The following is a 24,323-nucleotide window of genomic DNA, read 5'->3' as shown; positions in this document are numbered from 1 at the left end:
TTGCACTCTATCCATCTGACAAAGGGCTTATATCCAGAATCTACAAAGAACTTAAGTTTACAGGAAAAAAACAAACAAAAAGTGGGCAAAGGATATTAACAGACACTTCTCAAAAGAAGACATTTATGCAGCCAACAGACATATGAAAAAAATGCTTATCATCACTGGTCATTAGAGAAAGGCAAATCAAAACCACAATGAGATACCATCTCACGCCAGTTAGAATGGTGATCATTAAAAAGTCAGGAAACAACAGATGCTGGAGAGGATGTAGAGAAATAGGAACGCTTTTACACTGTTGGTGGGAGTGTAAATTAGTTCAACCATTGTGGAAGACAGTGTAGTGATTCCTCAAAGATCTAGATCTAGAAATACCATTTGACCCAGCGATCCCATTACTGGGTATACATCCAAAGGATTATAAATCATTATACTATAAGGACACATACACACATATATTTACTGTGGCACTATTCACAATAGCAAAAAGTTGGAACCAACCCAAATGTCCATCAATAATAGACTGGATAAAGAAAATGTGGCACATATACACCATGGAATACTATGCAGCCATAAAAAAGGATGAGTTCATGTCCTTTGCAGGGACATGGATGAAGCTGGAAACCATCATTCTCAGCAAACTATCACAAGAACAGAAAACCAAACACCGCATGTTCACACTCATAAGTGGGAGTTGAACAATGAGAACACGTGGACATAGGGAGGGGAACATCACATACCAGGGTCTGTCGGGGGGTCGGGGGCTAGGGGAGAGATAACATTAGGAGAAATATCTAATGTAGGTGACGGGTTTATGAGTGCAGCAAACCACCATGGCACATGTATACCTATGTAGCAAAACTGCACACGTACCCCAGAACTTAAAAAAAAAAAAAAGAATATTCAGAGTGACTATAGTTAACAACAATGTATTGTGTATTTCAAAGTAGCAAGAAGAGAGTATTTGAATTGTTCCTAACACATAGAAATGATAAATATTCAAAGTGACGGGATACCTGAAATATTTGACTTGATCATTACACATTCTATATATATAACAATATCATACGTATCCAACAAATATGTTAAATATTATGTATCAATGAATGAGTATTAGAATTTTGTGGTTGTTGTTAAGCCCTCAAAGTCATCATATTTGAAGTGAAGGTGTTAAACAGAAGTCTTTATCTATTTGTTAAATCACTATATATATATATTTAATTACAATGGCATTTGTTCTTTCTGATTGTTGGCTTATGTTTCAATGGGTGACTTGTTGACTTTCAGCAACAGAGGTCAGTTTATGGGATGATGACAAGGAGGACTCCTTAGGCTTCATGAGGACTATCTCTGTTTTTCTCACCACCCTATCCCCAATGCCTAACTCAGTGCCTAGCACCCAGCAGGCACTCAACAAATGCTGCTGAATAAATCAAGGACTCCAAAGATAACAGCTTTGGTACAGAGAAAAAATACTTTCATGATAGATTTGGAAGGGACAGCATGGGGGCCACATATCACAGGAGCAGGTGAAGTAAGATGAGGGGCATGGGCTATGATTCCTTCCCCCAAATCTCTGAGACAATTGGAACCCAAGCGGAGTGTGCATTTTGATGGCACAAGGGTAGGGCAGGGCAGGGGTGAGGAGATAACTTTTGAGAAATAAGAAACTGGCACAGTGTTTGGACCCTTGAGATGCTGGACTGTCTTAGTCAACTTAGTGAACTCCTTGGGGACTCAGTTTCATCATCTGAAAAATGAAGATAACAATACTGACCACACAAGGTTGCTACAAGAATTAAGGGGAAAAAAGAAAAGGCTAATGCATATAAAGCACCTGGCACAGAGACTGTCATAAAAGTCATAGTGGGCCCTTATTTTTTCATTTAACAGGTATACACTGAGAGATGGCATACACAGTGGTCACAGGCAGGTACCCAGAGACAGACTGCCCGGGTTTGAACCCCAGCTTTATCACTTAGAGCTGGGCATCTTAGGAAAGTTACTTAGTTGTTCTTTGCCACAAGTTTCTCTTCTGTGGAAAATAGGATAATAATGCTTACCTCATCATGTCACTCTGAAGATAAACTCAGTTAACAAATATAAACCACTCAGAACAGTATCTGGCACACAAGCACTGTTTAAGTGTTAGCTATTGTCGTTATCATATGCTAGGCATTTTCATATTCTTATCCCACTTTGATCCCTCTAGGGCTGGTGGAAACAATGAGAGAATAGATAGGAACAGACAGATGTGTTGACGTGATGATGGACGACATCCTGTTAGAGGGCTGGTCTATGTCTCATTAGAATAATGGGTCCCAAATCTGAGCATGCATCAGATTCACCCTGAAGGCTTGTTAAAACACAGGTTGTGAGGGCCCTGCCCTCAGAGTTTCTGATTCAGTAAGTCTGGATGGGCTTGAGATTTTGCATTTCTAACAAGTTCCCAGGTGTTGCTGATGCTGCTGGTCCTGAGACTGCATTCTGAGAACCACTGCTGTGTAACAAGAGAGGATGTCTGAAGCTCTAAGAGGAGGAAGAAGGGAGGATGCATACAGAGATAGGAGTTCAACAACAGTTCCAAATAGGACTGAGGTCTGGACACTAGCAGAAAGAGTCAAATGTTTATCCACTCATTCAGCAAATATTTATGCGCTGCCCACTATGAGCAGGGCCCTGTATTCACCAATCAGTTGCAAGAACAAGGATTAAGCTAAGCAGAAACAACTGTGAGTCAGAGAAGACTATCAACTTACTGAATTTAGCCAGAACAGTGCTGCTATGGTTTGAATGTGTCCCCCAAAGTTTATGTGTTGGAAACTTAATCCCCAATGCAACAGTGTTGAGAGGTAGGGCCTAATAAGAGGTGATGAAGTCGTGATGGCTCTACCTTTGTGAATGGATTGTGGTTGTCGTGGGAGTGGATTAGTTATCTTGAGAGTGGATTTGTTATAAAGGTGAGTTTGGACCCCTCTTGCTCTCACCTTCTCTTACCCTTCTGCCTTTCCCCATGGGATAATGCAGCAAGAAGGCCCTCATAAGATGCAGGTACCTTGATATGAGACTTCCCAGTCTCATGTCAAGTAAGTGAAATAAACTTCTATTGTTTATACATTATCTAGTGTCAGGTGTTTTGTTAGAGAAACACAAAATGGACTAAAACAAGCAATAAGCAAGCTTAGGCAAGTGATTTAATCTCTCTAGTTTCAATTTCCTGGTCCAAAAATGGGGATAATAGTTCCTACATACTAGGGTTGTTTTGAGAATTAAACAAAGATAAACTAAACAAAGACAGGATAAACTAAGATAAAGTAAAGCACTTAGCATAGTGTCTGGCATATGGTATGTACCCAACAAATATTGGCTGTTGCTAGTATTATTATTGGGTCACCCTTTCAGATACATGCCAAGAGGTTCTTTGCCATAGAAGGACATTACGGTGAGCGTGGAATTAAGTCTCACCAGGCCCAAAACCTAGAATCCCAGAGAGCAGAAAAATAATTTAAATCACAGGATTAAAAATTACAACCTGGCCACAAGGATTAAAAGATGCCTTTGGATAAGGGAGGTATTTGGGTCAGGGTCCTCCACGGAGCCCACAGATTGCACCAGAGTCTCCAGCAGCCAGCTATGGGTATAAGTATTCTCTGAGTTTTTTTCTTCTTAATTTGCAAATGCCAGATAAAAATGAATTCCAGAACAATGGAAATCTGAGATGAGAAGTAATTACAGCAAATTTGGCCAGGCCTCCTCCTAGGATCACTCCAGTCCTTCTGGGATGTGTTCTGACAACTTGCCGGCTCTTTTCTAAACCTCTGAAAGGGGATGACGTTCCTACCACTTCCCTTGGAAGAATATTCCACAGTGAAATATGACTCACTGTCGGGGTCCTTGTCTGTGCGATTCCCTTTCTTTTCTTGACCCACTTTTGTCTTAGTGTGCCCTTTCATGCAAAGTCAAATGAAGCTTCCCCTTGAGGAGGTTGTTCTGTGAGGACTGACATTTAAAGACCATTACCACCTCTTAAACTCGGCCCTGTTCATTTGGCCAAGAAAAGCATGTTTAATTCTTTTAATCTTCCCTCATAAATCAATCTCTACATTCCCTTAATAGTCCTTCTCCTGTGCTTTGAACTCCCTCCAGCCTGGCGGTCCCGAGCTCTTGTTCCGTTTACATTTGAGAATTAACCAGTCAATCACGAAATGCCTGTGCAGGCAAAACAGCCAGGCCTAGCCAGGGCTCCAAGTGCTCTCCCCACGCTTGGCTGCTGAAGGACACTGTGGGCCCAGAGAAGAGCCCCGTGATCTGCTGAGACAAAACAAGGCCTGCCCCATGGCCAACCTTGCTCAGATAGGTGTGCGGCATTTGCTGCTTGCTCCATGATGACCCTTTCAAATGGACCTGCCCCCGTTGGCCAACGGTCAAGGGACTGCATGGGAAGCCACCTGAGACACTTGTACCTCTCCAGCCTCTACCTCCTAGGGCAGGGAGGGCCACTGAATAAGCCCAGGCAGGGTCTTACCTGGAAGGTCCCAGCATGGTCTTCTTCCTTATCACCCTCTCTGTTCTCTCTGAGGGCAATTAATGTGAATCCTCTGAAGTAGGAGGGAGGAGCAGCTGAAAGTGTTACTGCAGAGAGAGAAAAAAGCAGGTTTTAAGTATAAGAATCAATTATTGTCCATTTGTCAAATGGGATAGACCTGAGTTCTCCATCGATATCCCAGACCTGTGAGTTACAGAGGCCGTGGACAGTGTTGAGGCCTTCATCCATTGAGGTGAGAACTCTTACCCTCTTCACCCAGCTCCCTCTTACATTTCAGAACCTGTTAAATATCTGAGCTGCTATCTTACTTGGGGATTCTTGACCCAACCAGGGGTGTGGTGAGCTCTCTCCCAATAACCACAATTTGATAAAGATAGTCCCTGGTCAGAAACTCAATCTTCACAATTGTCTAACATTACACTTCCATTAGACTGGCCCAAGAGAAAACTAGTCCTTCACAGCACAAAATCCTGTAGGATGACCTTTGTGGCAGAGGCTGCTGTGTGTTCTTCAAAACATATTTCATTTTTCTTGTGGAAACAGCTACACTGCATTTCCCAGCCTCCTTTGCAGTTAAGTCAGCTTTATAACCAAGTTCTGCCAGTGGAAGTCATGGACAGACATGATATACAGTAGCCCCCTGCAGATAAGGCCAAGACACATGCCAAGACCCCAAATGGATGCCTGAAATCATGGATAGTACCAAACCCTATGCTTACTATGGTTTTCCTTTACATACATACATACATACATACATACATACATATGATAAAGTTTAATTTATAAATTAGGCACAGTAGGAAATCAACAATAACTAATAAGACACAATCATAACAATACTCAAAACAGCATGCAATTTAAAACTTATGAATTGTTTATTTTTGGAATTTTCCAATTGATAGTTTTGGACCACAGTTTACTGCAGGTAACTGAAACCACAGAAAGCAAAACCTCGGATAAGGGAGTACTGCTATACTCTACTTCCAAGCCTGACCTGTACAAGCTTTCCACATGACCCTGCACTCTCACTCTCTTGCCTTTGCCTGCTTAATGCAGGGTCCAGCAGAAGACTCTGATGTCCCAGGAGCAGGGCCGTGGAACCACAAGAGGGAAGGAAACTGGGGATTTTAAACAACCCCACGGAAAATCACCTACTGACCAGAAACATCCATACTGTACTTCGCATGAGCTGGAAATAAACTTATGTTGTGGAGGGCCACCTGTTACAGCAGCTGGAATTATAAGTCTGTTATACTCTTCATTCCTACATCTACCCAGGAAACGATTTTTCCGTTAAAATCTAGCTCGGCCGGGCACGGTGGCTCACGCCTGTAATCCCAGCACTTTAGGAGGCCGAGGTGGGCGGATCACAAGGTCAAGAGTTCGAGACCATCCTGGCTAACACGGTGAAACCCCGTCTCTACTAAAAATACAAACAATTAGCCAGGCGTGGTGGTAGGCACCTGTAGTCCCAGCTACTTGGGAGGCTGAGACAGGAGAATGGTGTGAACCCGGGAGGTGGAGCTTGCAGTAAGCCGCGATTGTGCCATTGCACTCCAGCCTGAGTGACAGAGTGAGACTCCATCTCAAAAAACAAAAACAAAAGCAACAAAAAAAATCTAGCTCAAGGATCTTCTCAACATGGCAATCATGGTCCTCCATCCCATTGGACCCCCAGTCTCCTGAGATGGAAATCTTTTATTGCAGTATTTTTTTGAACTGAATTGCAATTCTTTGTTGATTTGCCTTCTCCACTGGGCTGTGCTAATACAGGAGAGGGGCTGGGTTTTCATTCTCTTTTTATCCCCAGAACCTAGCACAGAGCCTGGCATCTAATAGATGTTCAATTCAAGTTTCTTTAAATTGATGTAAATTGAGATTTAAATTACTTTACTGCCTGCATAAAAGTGCTAAGATCCTGGACATTAGATATGGAGTTACAGACTATTAGACCTTCAAGGGATCTCAAGTATCTTCTAATTCAGCTCTCCAATTTCACGGATAGGAAAGTAAAACATAGAAAGGTCAACAGACACACCTAAGATCATAAAATCATCCAGTGGGCAACTTAGGGTCAGATTTGAAGGCCCACTCCCCAGTTTAACACTATATCCAAGGCTTCACAAACCGAATATATTCATCATGTTATAGATCTTCCACAAATATTGACTGATTATTAAGTTTTTAAACTTTAAAAAATCAATTCATTTGACATATAATATTTGTGAGTATGATATGCAGCCTCCTGTTAAAGAGGGGCATTTAGTCTTCCAAATTCCTTAAACTAGTTTTAGTCTTGAAAATGAAGTGCCCTAATGTATACACATGTAACAAACCTGCACGTTGTGCACATGTACCCTAAAACTTAAAATATAATAATAATAATAAAAAGAAGTACCCTAAAACTCCAACAAATAAAACCACTGTCTTGGATAATGTAGTGGCTGCTCTTGAGCCACCAACAGAATGACACAGCAAAGAACTCTAAGACATAAAGAAGGTAAATGACATGCTGTGATTGGCCGGTTATCCCACAAAAGTAAAGGAGCTACTGATGTCTGTAAAAGATCAGATAGAAAAAAAGAAAGAAGGGGCTAGGCGCGGCAGCTCATGCCTGTAATCCCAGCACTCTGGGAGGCCGAGGTGGGTGGATCACTTGAGGCCAGGGTTCAAGACCAGCCTGGCCAACATGGTGAAACCCCATCTCTACTAAAAATACAAAAAATTAGCCGGACATGGTGGCACATGCCTGTAATCCCAGCTACTCACGAGGCTGAGGCAGGAGAATTGCTGGAACCCAGGAGGCAGAGGTTGCAGTGAGCCGAGATTGCACCACTGCACTGTAGCCTGGGCAACAGAGCGTGACTCTGTCAAAAAAAAAAAGAAGGAATGAGGGGAAAAAAAGCACAATAAAGCAAAGAAGAGTAAGAAAAGTGTAGTGTTCAGTGTCAAGCAAAAAAAATGGTGGTTATGCTGTCAGGGGACAGAGCTGGGAATCTCTGAAGGACAGACAGACAGCCAAAAAGCAGTCTTAGACTCTCTAGGGTGAGGGTGGGTGGTCTTCAAGGCCATTATACACAATTCTGGAGGAAAGGGAACAGAGGACAAAGTAACAAACACTAAGGATACTTCATCCAGATTTCTTCAAATACCTTTTTACATTTTAATGTGACCCTGGCACTAATATATTTCTGCTTCCCGTGGCCAGCCCCTGTGGCTCTTGTGTCCCTGGTCCTCAGGTTACTGGAGCCTACTCTGCCTAAGATGAAAGGTCCAGCTGCCTTGCATCAGGTGAGGACAATTCTTAGAGGCACTTTACACTCCAAAATGGCCCCGCAGGATCTGACTGAAACTACCTGAAGGGACCATGCCTGGGATCACAGGCTGGCAGGACACCTTCCCAGTTGCTGTCCTGCTTCCCCTACTCTCTTACTAGTTTCCCCTGGGAGCATTTCCTTAAAAGAATCACTTTCATCTGAATCCTCATCTGAGGCTTGTGTTACGGTTTAAGATATGTTGAAGTTCTAATCCATACTTGGGAATGTGAACTCATTTGGAAATAGGGTCTTTGCAGATGCAGTTTGTTAAGATGAGGTAATGCTGGATTCAGGTGGGCCCTAAATCCCATACAACTTATGTCCCTATAAGAAAAGACACAGAGACACACAGGGAAGAATGCCACGAGATGACAGAGGCAGATATTAGAGCCATGCATTTACAAGCCGCAGAAAGCTAAGGCCTGTTGACAACCACCAGAAGCCAGGCGAGAGGCATGGAACCAACTTTCTCTCAGAGCCCTCCAGAAGAAAACACCGTCGGATACCTTGATTTCAGATGTCTAGCCTCCAGAAATATGAGAGAATAAATTTATGTTGTTTCAAGCCAACAATTTATAGTAATTTGTACAGCAGTCCTAGGAAATGAATACAATCAGCCTCCGGGGAACCCCAGCCAAGACAGATAATCCCTGCTCCACAGCCACTGCCTTTAGGACAAAGCTCAAACTCCGCAGACCAAGAAGCCCTCAGGCTCTGCCTCTCCAGCTTCACTAACCATGCTCCCATTCCCCTGCCATACTACATTTCAATCCTTGGATTCACTCTCTAGAAGTTTCCTGAAAATCCATGTCATGTCGCCCTGTTGTATTTTTTCATGAGCTACTCATATAACTTGGAATGGTCAAGCTCCTCCATTCTGCAAACTTCAAAAGTCAGCCAAATCTCCACCGTTTGTGTGATGTTTCCTCTGATTTCCCCATAAAGACCTGCATGCCTTTTCTCTTGGACCCTACTGAAATTAAAAATACCTACATAATAGGCATAGTAACAGCACTTACCTCAAAGTATCAGTGCAAGCTATAAATGAAGTAATATGTGTAAAGTCCTTAGTAAATATGAACTCATTATTATCAGTGATAAGAGTATCGAATTAGATTATATTTTGTGTTTATGTGTTTCTTTACACATTTGTAAGACGTTCAAGGGTAAGAACCCATCTAAGCTCAGCACAGTGACCAGTGCGGAGTTGACGTGCTATTAAATTTACTTGAGTGTTCCTAGACTGGTTGGCTCAGTATTGCTAAAGATGTCAATTATCCTCAAATTGATCTATAGGTTTCATCAATCTAAATTAAAATCCCAGTATGCTCTTTGTGATATTGACAAGCTGGTTCTAAAATTTATATGGAAATGCAAAGGGCCAAGATTGTCCAAGACAATCTTAATGAAAGAAGTGCAAAATTGAAGGGCTTATACTCCCAGATATCAAGACTTACACAGCTACAGAAACTAAGCCAGTGGACTATAGCAAGGTAAGAAAAATGGGCCAGTTGATCAGCTTAGGGTCCAGGAAAGTTCCACAAATATACAGAAGCTTGGTTTATGACAAAGGATGTATTAGGTTGGTGCAAAAGTAATTGCAGTTTTGGCCATTAATGGTTTTGCCATGGCAAAAACCACAATTACTTTCACACCAACCTAATACATCAGAGCAATGGAGAAAAGATAATCTTTTCAGTAAGTGGTGCTAGGACAACTGAATGACCATGCAGAAAAAGGTAAATCTTGGCCCTTAACTCACATCATACACAGAGTAAATTCCACATAGATTGTACAGCTAAATGTGAAAAGCAAAACAAAATTTTAAGAAGGCAGCATGAAATAAAATGCGAATGACCTTGGAGTAACAAAGATTTCTTACATAGAGCATAAAAAAGCACTAACAATAAAGGAGAAGATATATAAATGGGGTGATATCAAACTTTTGCTCATCAAAAGATACCATTAAGAGTGAAGAAGCAAGTCACAGTGTCAAAGAAGATATTTGCAACCATATAACCAGAAACTGACTTTTATCTAAAATACATAAAGAACTATTTCAGATCAATAAGAAAAAGACAGACAACTCAACAGAAGAAAAATAAGAAAGACAAATGCACAAACTAATACTTCACAAAAGAAGGTGCCCAATGGCCAATAAACATATGCAAAGGCTCTCAACCTCAGTAGTCAATAGGGAAATAAAAATTAAATCTACAATGAAATAGTACTGCGTATCTAACAGTTTGGCTAAATTTAAAAGAATTAACAATATCCAGTGATGTTAACTAGAACTTTCACACACTGTTGATAGAAGTGAAAATTAGCAATTTTGCTGCTAAATTCTTTGGCAGTGTTTACTGAAGCTGAACATACTCTTACCCTATCACCCAGCAATACCATCTTAAATCAACAGAAATGCATATATATGTGCACCAAAGATACCTATAAGAATATTAGTAGTAACATTATTTGTAGTAGCATCCAAGTGGAAATACTCAAATGCCCTTCAGCCCTAGAATAGGTATATAAATTGTGGCATATTCATATAACCAAATGCCTCACAGGCAGGAAAATGAACACATACTGCCACATGCAACATGGATAAATCTCACAAACGTAATCTCAAGTGACAGAAGACAGGCACAAGAGAATACAAATGGTATGATTACATTTATATATATTTACATAAAGCTCAAAAACAGGCAAAGTAATTCATGGTGCTAGAGGTCAGGACAGTAGTAACATGTACAGGAAAGGGAGGGAGTGCAACATGGAGGCAGAACAAGGGATGCTGCTGAAGAGCTAGTCATGATCTGTTTCTTGATCTGGGTGCTGGTTACATGAGTATATTCAACATGTGATAATTCACCACACTCTATCATTTGTAAACTTTTCCTTATGTAAGTTATATTTTGATTAAAAGATTCCTAAACAATGTTTCTGAATGATAAATATCCCAACTTTTGTACATCTGCTCAGTGTGCTTAAAGGGCTAATCATAAACTCAGCTTCCCATAATACTGCATTCCTGTAGGTTCTAGAAAGCTAAGGTTGTACACAACCCTATTAAATATAACACATGAGATGAAGGCTCTGGAAGCTGAACTCAGTGTGGGGTTTTAATCCATAATTATCACTGGTGATGATGTTGTTACACAGTATAATTTGAAGGAATAGAGGAGACTCTATCTTTCCAGAGAACCTCATTATACAACTTCCTTCTGAAAGGTACAAATGTGCAGTGTGTTCTGAGTCCCAGTAATAACCTAAAATGACTGCTTGGCAGTAAATAATAGAATCTTCTCTCTAATGACTCCTCCCAATTGCCTCCCCTGAGAGGCTATTAAGAGATCCAAGAAATTAAAGAAAAATGCTTATGAAGGATTAAAAAAAAGGAATTCCATTCAGAGCCATCTTGTGAGTACATCCGGGGAACTGATTAACAGCAAACATTTAGGATTAGAATCCCAGAGCTACCACTTATGTGATCTCTGGTAAATTACTTAATCTATTTCCTTATTTTTAAAAAGAGGTTGATGATATCGCCTTTCTTATAGGAACGTAGAGTTAAATAAATATTTATCCCAGTGCCTGGAACATGTAAACTGTTCAAGAATTTTAAGGGATGATGATGATAATGATGGTGGTAGTATTTATGATGGTGATGGTGATGGTGGTGAGTGGTGATGGTGATATTGGGGATGAAGATTATGATGAAATTTGTGATTATGATAAAAGATCATAATGCTCATCAGGCTGATTACCCAACAATGTGTTTCAAAGAGCTGGTCCTCAGGAACAATGATTGAACCTCCAAAGAAAAACTCTAGTAGGTGCCAATGAAGGACCACTGGAAGGATTGCAATGGAGAGAATTGGCTTTGGGGACGATTCTTACAAGTTCAGGTTATGGAGAGATTTGGGTAAGTCCTTATAATAAAGCAAGGCTTCCTACAGCCCATGACACTCAGAGTGCCCTGTGAGGACCTCCCTGCCCCTTTCACCTCCACACAATACCCCTTTTCTGGAATACCTCTCACCCAATTTCAGTTCCATACGTGTTTATGAAACTATTTGTTAAATGCTTGTCTCCCCTAATAACCTGTACTCTCCATGAGTGCAGAAACAAATTGTCTTGAACTCCACTGCATCTTTAGCATCTAGCATACCACTTTACACATAGTAAATGCTCAATATATACTTGTTGAATGAATGAACAAAAAAGGTTTTATTTGTCTTAAATGCATAGTTTTCTCATTCCTATTCTGGTCCCTTTTCCAAAGTTCCCATGGGTTACCTTGAGCAATACATCAACCTCCCTCATCCTTTTATCTTTACTGAGCATTTGGTCTACACTAGCTCAGTGCTACATCCCTGGAGACACAGAGTAAAAAAGACATGGCGTCTGCTCTCTAGGAGCACACAGTCTAGTACCTGGGGGAAAAAATATAGCAACAGATATTTTTTATAACATGTAAAGTGTGTTATGGAGGTATGAACAATGTGTTCTGGGGTTGCAGAGGAGAGAACATCTGCGTCTATCTGGGTGAATTCGAAGAGGCTTCAAGGAGGAGGTAGTATCTGTGTTGTAAGTTGAATGAAGAATAGGAGTTTATCCAGTGGACAAGGGAATCAACAGCATCCCATGTAGCAGAAATGTGTGATGGGCCAGTCTTGGCCCTGGAAACCAGAACTGATTCTGTATTTCATAAGTTGCATTCTGGGAGGAAGGGTGTGATAAAAGGCTTGGTGAGGAAGATAAGCAGGGGGAAGATGATCAAAGGCCTTCAATGCCTTGATAAGAAGTGTGGATATCACCCTGGGGAGGGGGGATGAGGCAGTACTGAAGGGCTTGCGCTAGGACATTTCATATTCAGATTTATGGTTTAGGAAGATCAGGCTGGAGGTTGTGTAATTATTGAATTACAGCTTTGCCCTAAAAGCCACATCAGTAACAAAGGCCTGCCTTATTTATATGAAGACTGATATTTCACACTAGAGCCTGGCCTCAAATCCCGACCCAGGGCAGAGTTCTTTCCATCCTTGGGTACACTTACCCTACCTAATTACCAAATAGCTTTCTGGGTCTTTCAAATGTTGGTGTGTCAACCTTCTAACAAAAACTCTAATAAACTATTACCCAAATTCATCTTCTATGCCTATTACCCTCACTGGATCTTGTCCAGTTCCATCTTCCTCCGCACTCTGTCTCTTGGGTTTCAGAATTATTAATAGAACTCCAACCTCAATGAGAAGACCCTGAGTCCCAGCTCCATCCTATGGCCAGCCCCTGCCATCCACCTGCTATGTGTTACTGAAATGCCCCAGTCTTGCTACACACCTCAACCACAATGCGCGTCAGCTTCTGCTTTAACTTATAACATGGAGTTATAAAGACTGTTGGGACATTAAGTTAGTCACAGTGCTCCCCTTTCTATTCTGCACAACTTCCAGAGCTCTGAGGAGCTGCAACTCATATATTTCTATTTAAAAATTTGGCACAGTAATTCAGGCCACCTAGCCAGGTCAGGCAAGAAAAGATTTGCTGGTGATGGCCTGGAAGACTGGAAGGCAAGACTGAGAATCCAAAAGTGAGCAGGTGAGGATGGTGGGGTTGGATTATGCTGTTCCCCTGGATGGCCTTCTTCAGCCAGTGCTCTCAGCATCCCCAGGCAGAGATGAAGTTTCTCCCACTCAAACTGAAGATCATGCATACTTAAATTTGTAAGGGTCATTTTTCTATAACAGACGTAGTTAACAGACTTGGTTCAAATTTCCCTGTTTATTATGTGTAATTTTGGGCAAGTTACTCAAGCTCTCCTTGTCTACATGTCCTTACCTGTAAAACAGCAGTAATATTTAATAGTATTTACCTCCTGTTGTCATCATGACAATTAATGAATTGGTAATAGGAAGTATATAAAAACATTTGCTAAATCAATAAAATATATTAAAAATAAATCAGTCTCCTCTGTGAAATAAGGATCATAATTATCATCTCGTGGATTTGTCATGAGGATTCAAGGAGATAATGCAATGAAGCACATTGCAGCAGCTCAATAAAAGTTAATCCTTTCCCCATTGTGTGACCTCGTCGTGGAACAGCTCAGAGCCAGATGAATGGGTCCTGAGCTGAACAACACGTGGATAGCAGGAGGAATAATGGGAAGGATGCCTCTGGGGAGGTAGAGATGTGTCAGCCAAGAGAACGTAGCTGGGAATGTGGATGAGGGCAGGAAGCTCTGGGGGACCCCCACTGCTGCCCCTACTCTGACCCTGTGGTCACTGGGGCTTCCAATCACAGTTCATCCTCCTTCCTCAAATATCAAGTCACAAAAGTGACTGTGATCCAGATCCAGTCTATCTCCATGCCATTGCCCTGGCCATGTGACCCATACTGGACTAATCACAATCTTCCCTGGGATGTTTCAGTTTGTAGTTAGAAGGAAAGGGGCTTTTCTTTTAGTCACAGGATGAGCTAAGAGGATTTTCACTGAAGGTTGCTGGCAGCTATCCTCCCTGTCATTTGGAGAAAGTTTATCTGTAGTAAGAAAAAATGAGGGCAAAACACAGCCAAGAGATTGAGGATGGAAGGAGCAAGACAGAGAAGGTAGAAGCGAGGGACAAAAAGATAGAGCGAAGGAGGGAACGGGGGACAGAGAGAGAGAGAGAGATGGAATGACCCCATTTGAGTCACTAGACCCATTTATGCCTGAAGCAAGAGCCACCCCTGGGCTTTGCAAATATGGGAATCAGTGCATTCCCTTTTCTGCTTTAGTTAGGTTGACTTTGTTCCTATCACTTGCAGTGGAAAGAGTCCTGACTAATTTTGAAGCAAAGAAAGAAAACACTCTGCCTAAACTACAAGAATCACCAGCAGGCTCAGGAAACAGTATTCAGAACTAAACTGAGGTGGCTTATGCTGGGGGTGGCAGTTGGTATGTAAATGTCATTGGGATGACAGCAGATCTCTTGACTTCAAAACTATTTAGCTAAATATCAGCTTTAGAGAAAGACTCTAAGGAATGTCAGAGGGCTCTATCCTAGACTCTGAGTTGCTCAATATTCTTATCAACTTCATTGATAAAGACTTACAAGACCTTCTTATCAACACTGTGCATAATCCAAAATTAGATTATGTGAATAAATCACTCAGGGACCAAATACAGATTCATGAATGGCTGACAGCTACAGGGATGGATCCAAACATGCTGGATTAAATCTAACGATAAACCATGTCAAATTTTATGTTCAAGGACCATTTTCACCAGTCTAGGTTAAAGAGGGAAGCAGGCCTTCCAGAAAATTGCAAGAATTTGAGTTGGCTGCAAGCTCAGTGTGATTCCAGACTACGGCACAGCTGCCAAAATAGCAAACACAAGACCTGGCAAGCTTCACACAACCACAATGTCCAGGACAAGGAGATAATCATTCTATCATGTCCTGCCCCTAACAGACCACATCTGGGGCACAAAGTACAAGGGAGCAAGCAACTGCAACCCACAAAGAATGGTTAAAGAAATGGGGCATTTTAGTCAGAAGAGAAGCCATGACAGCTATTTATTCACAAACATCTCAAGGGCTGACATATGGCCCAGGGGAGACCTTATTTTCCTTGATTCCAAAGGACAGAACCTTGGACAGATGTGTGAAAGTTACATGGTAGGCAGACTTTGGTGGCAGAGAAGTACAAGCAAGTCAGCCCTGGCTCAAGCTTCGCCAGTCTGTGATTGTGGCCACCTAAGGAAAACTCATGGTTCTCTTCTCCCCATCACCCTACTGCCAAGCGGGAAATGTTGCAGTCATGTTGGCTTTGAGGATATTCCACTGGTCACTAAATGAGTGTGTCCCATAGTAACAGGATAGGGCAATGATGTGACCAGGTGCTAAAGTGTGTGGGAGGCTGGGGCTGGGGCTAGGAGAGGTGGTGATGGGGAAGCATGCTCATAGGAAAAGGGCCACCTTTTCTTTGTGTCTCATCATTTTCCTTTAAAAGAGTGAAAAAAGAAAGAAGAATATAAGATTCCTGGAATCCAGCCTTTTGTTAGGGTGGGGCCCAGGAAGTTTTTTTATTAAATTAAATTTTAGTTTAGTTTTTACACTCTCCAAAGGCATAGCTAGGTTTGGAAAGTACTACAAATGACTCCACAATGTGCTGGTTCTAGGGAATGTCACTTTAATAATTGATGTCTAGGTTTGATGGCTCAATAATCCCCTCAGGCCTACTTCTCCAGATACTCAGAGCCAGTTTCTCAGAGCCAGTTTCTGAGGTTGGCAGCCCCTTGCCTCTGCCCTTTTGCCTGCTGTTGCTCTGCTTTTCATGCCACAGCAGCAGCGTTTCAGCTTCCACCATGATGCAACTGCTCTCTCTTCCCTCCCAGTGGTCTGCACTCTGGACACAGGCCATCTGCCCTCAGCCTCTGGCCAACGCCCCTGTGGCACTGGCATCCTTTCTCTCTGCTGCCACCACCTGGAGCTCCTTGCCTCCTGTCTGCCATCCCTTGGGTGCTCACCTTTCTCTCTGGCTGAGAGAGAAATACCTTCCCCTTCCTCCATCCAGCTCTCTTAGAGAGCTCACACCAGGGTTCTTGGGGCTTCAATGATACTTTATTTTTTTCAACAAATAATGATTTAATGCCTGCTATGCCCAGGCACTGTTCTGGGAATTGAAGATAAAATGGCAAATAAGAAAGACAAAGTCTTTGCTCTCATAAAGCTTGTATTCTAGCTGTAGGAGGCAGACAATAAACGAGAGAATTTCAGAGAGTGTTTAAGGCTATGAAGAAAACAAAATCAGGCGAAAGTGACGGGAAACATAAATTGGTAGTGAGAGCAGCCTCTTTAAAGAGATTCCCTTAAAAGACAAGGAGTCAGCCATGCAAAGATCTGAGGACAACCATCCCAGGCATGAAGAGCAAGGATGAAGGCCCTGGGGAGCGAATGAGCTTAGTGTATTTGGAAAATTCAAAGGATAGTGTTGGCAGGAGTTGGGGGGAGGACAAGGAGGAGGAGGAGGAAGAGGAGGAGAAAAGAGCTTCCTGTAGCACCTAGAATCACCATTTGGTTCATCCTGCTGTGACTGTGCCCACCTGCCCACACTCCTGCCCCACAGATGGTGACTTGTTCTTGGAACTCTTCCCTGTTTCTCTCACCCAGTCCATGAGACATATTGGCAAATATCTCAACCACAACTGTAGAGAGGGTTCAAGTTATTTCCTATGGGTCTCCTAGCCTCAAGAAAATCAGTGGATGTGGGTAGGTCCCTTAAGTTTTCCTGAACATTTCATGGAATTTATGAATATTCTGCGAAAGGTAGAAGCCTGCTCTACATAGACCTCACAAAGGACTTCTAGTGGTCTCACTTAACTCCTTGCCCTGTCCTATCTGCACCCCAACTCCATCCCTGCCAAAACATTCTGTAAAAGTGGGGCATTTTATACCAGCAGGAGCTGACAAGCATCACAAAAAGCTTTTTATGTGATATAGCAAGCTTCCTGACACCATAGATGCTCCAAGAGAGGTGCATTTGGTAAAAATCAAACACAACTGCACACTATTGGAGGAGAAAAAACAGAGAATGTAATGCTTTAAATGATTTGGGCCACTTGCTACTCCATTCAATGCATGCATGTGCCTGAGTGAGCATGAGATGAGCCTCTCAGCTCCCTTACTCCATCACATGATGAAGATTTTGTACTTGCATGTCAGAGCAAACCAAGGGTTTATCTGCTACTCAACTGAGGAAACATTGCTCTCTTCCAATGCTGGAGGGAAACTAGAAGGGCTAGACTTATTGATACATGCCAATTCGTTTCTATTCCTCACTTACAGGAATATTGGGGGTAGGGTGTTTAGATAAGGCTAGGTTGAAGCTGGTATCTGGGTTATATCTTACGTATAATTTCAAAGGACTAATTTTGACTTATGTGATGTTTGCTTTCCATGGCTCTTCTTGTATCTAGCCCTGTAGTCCCATCCTAATGGGACTCTGCCATACTCAAATATTTTCTTTCATTTTCATTCTGAATGTATACCCCAGTGGGTTTTCATTTTTCTTTTTCTCTTCCCACACCACCCCTTTGTTTTCTTGATTTACCTTACCCTCATTCCTTTCATTCTTTGCTGCTTCCTCTTTTATTGAGAAAGGAGAATGAGACAAAACAAGCCACAACATAAGCTTGCACATACACACCCCAGCACTCCTGCCTCTGCTCTTTTTCCCTTCTTTTGAGACAGGGTCTCACTTTGTCGCCCAGGCTGGGTGCACTGGCACAATCTTCACTCACTGCAGCCTCAACTTCTCCAGCTCAAGAGATCCTCCTGCCTCAGCCTCCTGAGTAGCTGGGTCTACAGGTATGAGACACCACAGCCAGCTAATTTTTTTTTTTTTTTTTTTTTGTAGAGATGGGTTTTGCCATATTGTCCAGGCTGATTTTGAACTCCTGGGGTTAAGCAATCCACCTGTCTCAGCCTCCCAAAGTGTTGAGGTTACAGGTGTGAGCCACTGCATCTGGCTTCCTCTGCTGATTCTTAGCAGGAACATCAGTTTATATGTTGTCAAGTTGACCCACCTAGCTGACCTTTCACTGAGAAAGTAAGATATATTGTGTTTTTACATGACTATGCATGAAAATATGTGACAGAGACCGTTAATATGATCCTTAGAAATTTACTTTGTTTCATCTTTTTGAAAAATAAATTCTTCAAGTTTTAGCTGGGCATGTGGCTACCCAGCTAAATGCTATATTTCCCAGCCTTCCTTGCAGCTAGGTATGACCACATGACTGAATTTTTGCCAACGGAGTGTGTTTAGAAGTGCTGGGTGCAGTTTCTGGGTCACATTATTAAAAGAAAACTGAAGTCCTCTACTTCCTCTCCCCCCAGTCCACTGCATGCTGACTGAATACAGGTGTGCAGAGGTTCTCCTCGGCTGTAACGGTGCTGAGGAGAACAGCAACTTAAAACAGTGCTGTTTAGTAGAAATAAGCTCAAGCTGGGTGAAATTAATTTTGTTACCAGGTATCCATTAACATAAGTGAAAATAGGCAAAATTAGTTTTAACTAGTGTATTTTACTTTATACAATTATAATTTTAATATGTAATAATACACAATTAATGAGTTTACTCTTTGTATACTAAATTTTCAACAGTCATTGTGTATTTTATACTTACAGCACATCTCCATTCAGAATAGCCACATTTCAAGTACTTCATAGCTACACACGGCTAAGTAGCCACCAACTACACAGCAGAGTGCAAGAAGATGTCAGGGAACAAGGTAGAAGGAGCCTGGTTCCTGGATGGCCTTATGGAGCAAAGCCTCCCATCATGCTGGATCTCCCATTTACCTCTTGTTTAAAACACTGTGTTTTGGATTCTGTTAGTAACATGAGCTTAGCCTGTACTATGACTAATATAACATGGTAAGAGTCCCCCCACCTCACAACAGAAATTGATATTGACCTATATATATGTGACAGTCTGTATAACAAGCAAATGGACAGTGTGAGAGTGAAAAGCTCCTGATATACCAGCCCATAGTGGTAAACGTATCAGTGATTATAGCTTCTTGATGCAACTGAAAGAGTCAGCTGTAATGAAACAGCTTATCTGTGTATGGGGGAGTACTCAAGTTTTAAACCTTGAAAAATTCCATTTTGATATGCTTTTTTGTATGTTTTTATTTCTTTCATTTCCTAAAACTCAGAGCAATAAACAATCTCCACAACCATTAAGCATTAGCTATGTTTGCATTTTCTAATTTTTATTATCAGTTTGAACTAAATACTTAAGTAATGGTTAGAAATAGTTACATAACAAAAAAGCAGGGAATGGTGCAAAAAAGGGAAGAGAGGTAGGAGGGGTGGCTTAATTATAATATCATCAGCAGCACTTAAGTTTTTAAAAACTCCACCATCCAGGAAATAGTTTATTTAAAAGACCTCATCTTGTGTAAATTTCTTAGAGCCTAAATATGTCCTTTCCAAACATATAATTTTACAGGCATGGTCATATAACATCTGTATGTAAAAACAAAACAACAGTCAAATCTGTTTTTTCTTTTTTTTTTTTTCTTTCTGGGTTTTTTTTTTCCTATCCAATTTGTTTTTGTTTCCCCACAAACAAAAGGAATTGGCCAAAGGCTGACAAGGTTCTTCATGTTTCTAAATTAATCCTCTAGTTTATGGGGAAATGCAACACTGAAGCCAATAAGAGAAAACAGCAAATGTGAATAAGGATTTATCACTTTATATTACTTTGTAGTAATATAAAGTAATTCTCCTGAGAGATGTCAGTTACTATCTTGATTTGTTGTTCTGTTTTCCTTGAAGGAAGGCTCACCATCCAGAAGGCTGAGGGTAGCTGAGTGAATTTCATTCTATTCCCAACTAATTTCATTGAGTCAGCACATAAGACTGGTTAAGAGCACAGATTTAGGAGTCAGACAGACCTGAGACTGTATCCTGATTCTGCTGATTATTAGCTGTGTGACCATGGATAAGGAATAAACTTCTCTGAGGTTTAGTCTTCTCATCCATAAAACAGTAACGATCAGAAACTTCCTCAAAGTACTGTAAGGAATAAGTGAGATGAGTCGGAAGAACTTAACACAATATCTTATCCAGGGCTTTGCTGCTAAGTATTTTTCTATTTCCAAAATAATCATCTCATAACATATTTTTTTAGCAACCACTGTGTGACAATTTCTTTTGACATGAATTATTTCTAATTCTCACAGGAATGCTGGGAAAAAATCAAAACACCCTCATTTTACAGATGGAGAAATTGGCTCAGAGAGGTGAAGTGGCTTCCTGAGATCACACAGTGAATATGTGACCAAGGAGGACCTGAAACCAACCCACCCAACATCAAAGCCTGTGCGCTTTCCACCAGGCTGAGGTGTCCACCCCTGTGGTCAGTGTGTGTCTCAGTGTGGGACAAAGGAAAAACCATGCAGCTTTGGAGGTCTCCAAACCTCCCAGTTTAGGATAAACCCCTCAATTATGCTTGAAGTTGGACCAGCTTTTGAAACCTCTACTGGACATTCTTTTCCCATCAAGTTCCTTGAAATGTCTCTTTAAAATACATCTAGGAAAAGCCACTCTCATTAGCCAGAGTCTGACTTTATTTTCCTAATAAACAGACCTCCAGTAAGACAAAAGAGCCTCTTTTATTTTCAATCAATTCTTGAATATTTCAGTGGATTTTCTTCTGTTTGGCTTGAAATTGTGATCTGGGAAAGGCTGGTCCTGCGAATTGTCCTCCTGTATAAGGGAAGCCCCTTGAGGATCCTCAACTTGTTATTTTTAATCACTGTAATCTCCTTTTCAAAGGAGGCCCTGGCCAGAAACAGAGCAGGCCTTTCAGAGCTTTCTAAAGCACAATTATTGCCGTTGGAGGGAGGGGGGACTGTGGGAAGAGGGAGGGAGAGTAGAGAGAAGTGGTGGGAAAGAAAAGGAAATCAATATAATACTAACAACTTGGAAAAGACAAAATAATGATCTCAACTGGATTCAGGTTTTGGGGAAGAAACTCCATGTTTCAGTCTTTTTTAATAGTGACCATTTTATTCCGGTCTAGAGTACCTAAAGACTGTACTTAGACAGCAGGCACAAAGAACAGAAGCTGCTTGGGGATGAACTGGAATACTGTGGACAAAGATTTGAGGCAGGAAAACAAGTCATTGATTCCAAGGATTGTGAGGAATCCTAATTCATGAAAAAATTAAAAAGCAAATAGAACACCAGGGGAATGCCAGCTTCACAGCCTTAAGTCAGGACAATGAGCAGAATGTGTTTGAGTTACTTTTAACATAATTATTCTAAGAAAGAAGGAGCCAACAGAAAATGTCACAAACTAGGCCAGTACCTTTTCTTTCGGACTTTGAGTGGCAGAATCAGGTTTGCTAATTGCAGGATATTTACTTGGAAAACCTCAGCATGGTTCCTGCAAGATCTCTTCCAAGGTCTTTTAGCCATAAGAAGGGAGAAAAGATGATTGCCCAATCTATAGCCTGAGTTGGGGTGTCAAAGTCCAGATGGCTGTTTAGGCAGGAGTAGCCTGTAGGGTGAAAGTCCAGGACACTCCCTATCCAGTCCCAGTTCCCCACCTGCTGGCCCTGGACGTTTAGGTAGTTCTGAAACCTCTTTGGCCCCGTGAATACCAGCTGTATCTCCTTCCCAGTGCTAGGGCCACCAGCTGCCAATGCTCAACTAAAACACGGAGGATTAGTGTGAAAAGAGACGCTGGGTACACTTGGCCTGAACCTCAGACTAGTCTAAGTCACTGAAAAAATCTTCCTGGGCTTGCATTAGCAACAGTCTTAGGCAAGGCTCCTGATATGAAAAAATACCTCATTCATTCATTCAATTAATTCATGAGGACCCAAATAACCACTGGTAGATGAATGGGACTGGAGGAGAGCTGAGGAAACCTGCTTTCAAACGCACAACACTCTTCAAAAACAAAAATCTGATCAAGAACCTACCTCCATTAGTAAACCAATAAAGGCCTCACATTCAACTGTTAGGCTTATTAGGAATCTCTTTTAGCTCAGGCACACTCACCTTTGTAAACTCATTTACTCCCTACCACCAAGAGAGGGTGGATAAACAGCTTTTTTTTTTTTCCAGCTAGGAAATAGGTGCAGAGAAATTAAATGACTTGCACAAGGTCACACAGCGAGTAAACCCAAGTCTGTTGGACTCCAGAGCCACTTCTTTCTCTGCTACGTGGAGCGGGGACAGTTTCCCCTGTGAACTCAGGTCCTCAGTTTTGGGGAGGGCCGAATAGGCCACTGAAGTCATACCCGCTTCCCTGCGGTCCACAGGGAGGATCGGCCGCCTCCCGGCTGCACCGAGTGGCAGTCGCCGCCCGTCGGCGCGGCTCGCTCTAGCCGCGGTGCCAAGCCGCGCGCTCCCTCCCGGGCTGGGCGGGGTGTTCTCCGCCCAGAATCTTTCTTCGTGGAGTACCCAGGATCCCGCGGAGCTGCGCGCCGGGGTCAGACTGTTCCTCGCAAAGTGCTCAGCACGCCAAGGTGCCAAGGGCACCAAGGAGCCGGCTTTGGGTAGCTCCGGGTGGAGAAAGTCGGGGACACAAACCCGGGAAAGGGGGAAAAGCGCTCCAAGAAGGGTGGCCCCTGGCTTTGGTCTCCGGCGTGACCCTGGCGCCCGCTGACGCTGCCCCAGACTTTCTCCTGTGTTGCTCCCACCGCTTCCGTCCAAGGCTCTCTGGGGAACTGGGAAGGCGAGGAGGAAAGTACAGCAGCTGGGAGCCCATTTGCCCCACCAGGTGCCCCAGTGACCCGCTCATCCCTGCTTAGCACCAGAGCTGACTTATGAAGGGGCGAGGGTGAGAGGACACGCTCCCTGGCGGGAGCTAAGGTGAGGCCAGACAGGCTCGCTTCCCTTCCTGGTTACCTGTCCCCCACCCGGAGAGCGGCTGCTGCTGCACGGGGAAACGATGTCTGGGGAGATGACCCTGCTGAGGAGCGAGGTGGCGGGCGTGGGGACAGAGTCAGGCGTCTTCAGATCGGTGCTGGTCGAACTGCCTGTCCCGCCTAGGAGGCTCTCACCTGCTTGGACACCTCCTCCCTGAGCTCCCGAAACCCCACTCTCAGCCGAGCGGCGTAGGCGCGACATCCCTGGGACGTGGAGACTCCGAGCTGCCGGAGCCAAGGTTCCCCGGCCTCCAGGGAGCAGGCCTCGGGCATCGGGGCTTCTCTTTCCATCTTCATCCAATTCCCCTTGCAGCTCGGAGCTTACCCCAAGCTCTTTGAGGACCCTGTCCCCACTGGGAACCTGTTCTGGAAACCCAAGATACTCTATCTCGTCTGGGACCACGAGAGAATAATTTGGGGTTCTTTCCAAGGACCCTTTCGAGGAGCTTTAGGCTGTCCCTGCCCCTCCTTCCCGCACCCCGGGACCGGTTAGGGAGAAGCCAAAGTCCCTTCTCCTGAAGGGACCTATCCAGGGAAGCCGGAGTGGCTGTCCCGCCCAGGGCCAGTCTTTGAGAATCGGGTACCCTCTCCTTCAGGGACTGAGCGGGGAAAGCTGGAGTGGCTGCCTTGCCCGGGACCCGACCAAGAGAAGCCTGGGTCCCCTCCAGACCGATTTGGAGAAAGGCAGTTTTACTTCCCTCCTGCAGACGGCCGGGGGAGAAGCGAGCCTCCCTTGCAGTCAGGCCGGCGTGACGTGTGGCTCAGTTACATCCTCCGCCTGGGAACCGCGCGTCGGAAACGCGGGGTGCCTCTCCTGGCTGCGGCCCCCGCGACGGCCCGGGACGCTGGATTATGATCCGCGCCGAGCTCGCGACTGCAAGGGCCGAGGGCAGCCAGGACAGAAGGGCCCTTGCCGGGCTGCACCCGCGCCACGCGCCCGGAGACCGCGCGCCCTCCTCCGGCACCGCGAGGTCGGCGCCCTCCGGGGACCGGGTCCCGCTCTCCTAATGCCACGCCG

General features: G+C 43.3%; 1 protein-coding gene and 1 long non-coding RNA gene across 2 annotated transcripts in view, besides 1 other annotated feature; both read right to left on the bottom strand.

Moving 5' to 3' along the window:
* SPON1 (spondin 1) overlaps nucleotides 1-24,323 on the bottom strand; it is a 305,411-nt gene that overhangs the window by 280,655 nt on the left and 433 nt on the right. Inside the window, exon 2 of the mRNA NM_006108.4 lies at nucleotides 4,526-4,632. Within this exon, the coding sequence (NP_006099.2) occupies nucleotides 4,526-4,632 (107 nt within the window). The remainder of the gene's footprint in view (nucleotides 1-4,525; nucleotides 4,633-24,323) is intronic.
* LOC124902637 (uncharacterized) lies at nucleotides 19,610-24,322 on the bottom strand. Its single transcript, XR_007062602.1, has 2 exons — nucleotides 22,434-24,322; nucleotides 19,610-20,438 (listed from the first exon to the last, which is right to left on the bottom strand). It is a non-coding gene; the product is annotated as an uncharacterized LOC124902637 (long non-coding RNA).
* Nucleotides 20,953-21,471: an enhancer, noted in NCBI's record as "NANOG hESC enhancer chr11:13987555-13988073 (GRCh37/hg19 assembly coordinates)". NCBI's record gives its function as "activates a minimal SCP1, AML or CMV promoter by ChIP-STARR-seq in primed H9 embryonic stem cells {active_cell/tissue: H9 hESC(primed)}" and the evidence as "EXISTENCE:reporter gene assay evidence [ECO:0000049][PMID:30033119]".

Source organism: Homo sapiens, chromosome 11, assembly GCF_000001405.40.
Source record: "Homo sapiens chromosome 11, GRCh38.p14 Primary Assembly".
In the NCBI taxonomy this organism is placed as follows: domain Eukaryota; kingdom Metazoa; phylum Chordata; class Mammalia; order Primates; family Hominidae; genus Homo; species Homo sapiens.
This window is presented reverse-complemented; position numbering and strand designations above follow the sequence as displayed.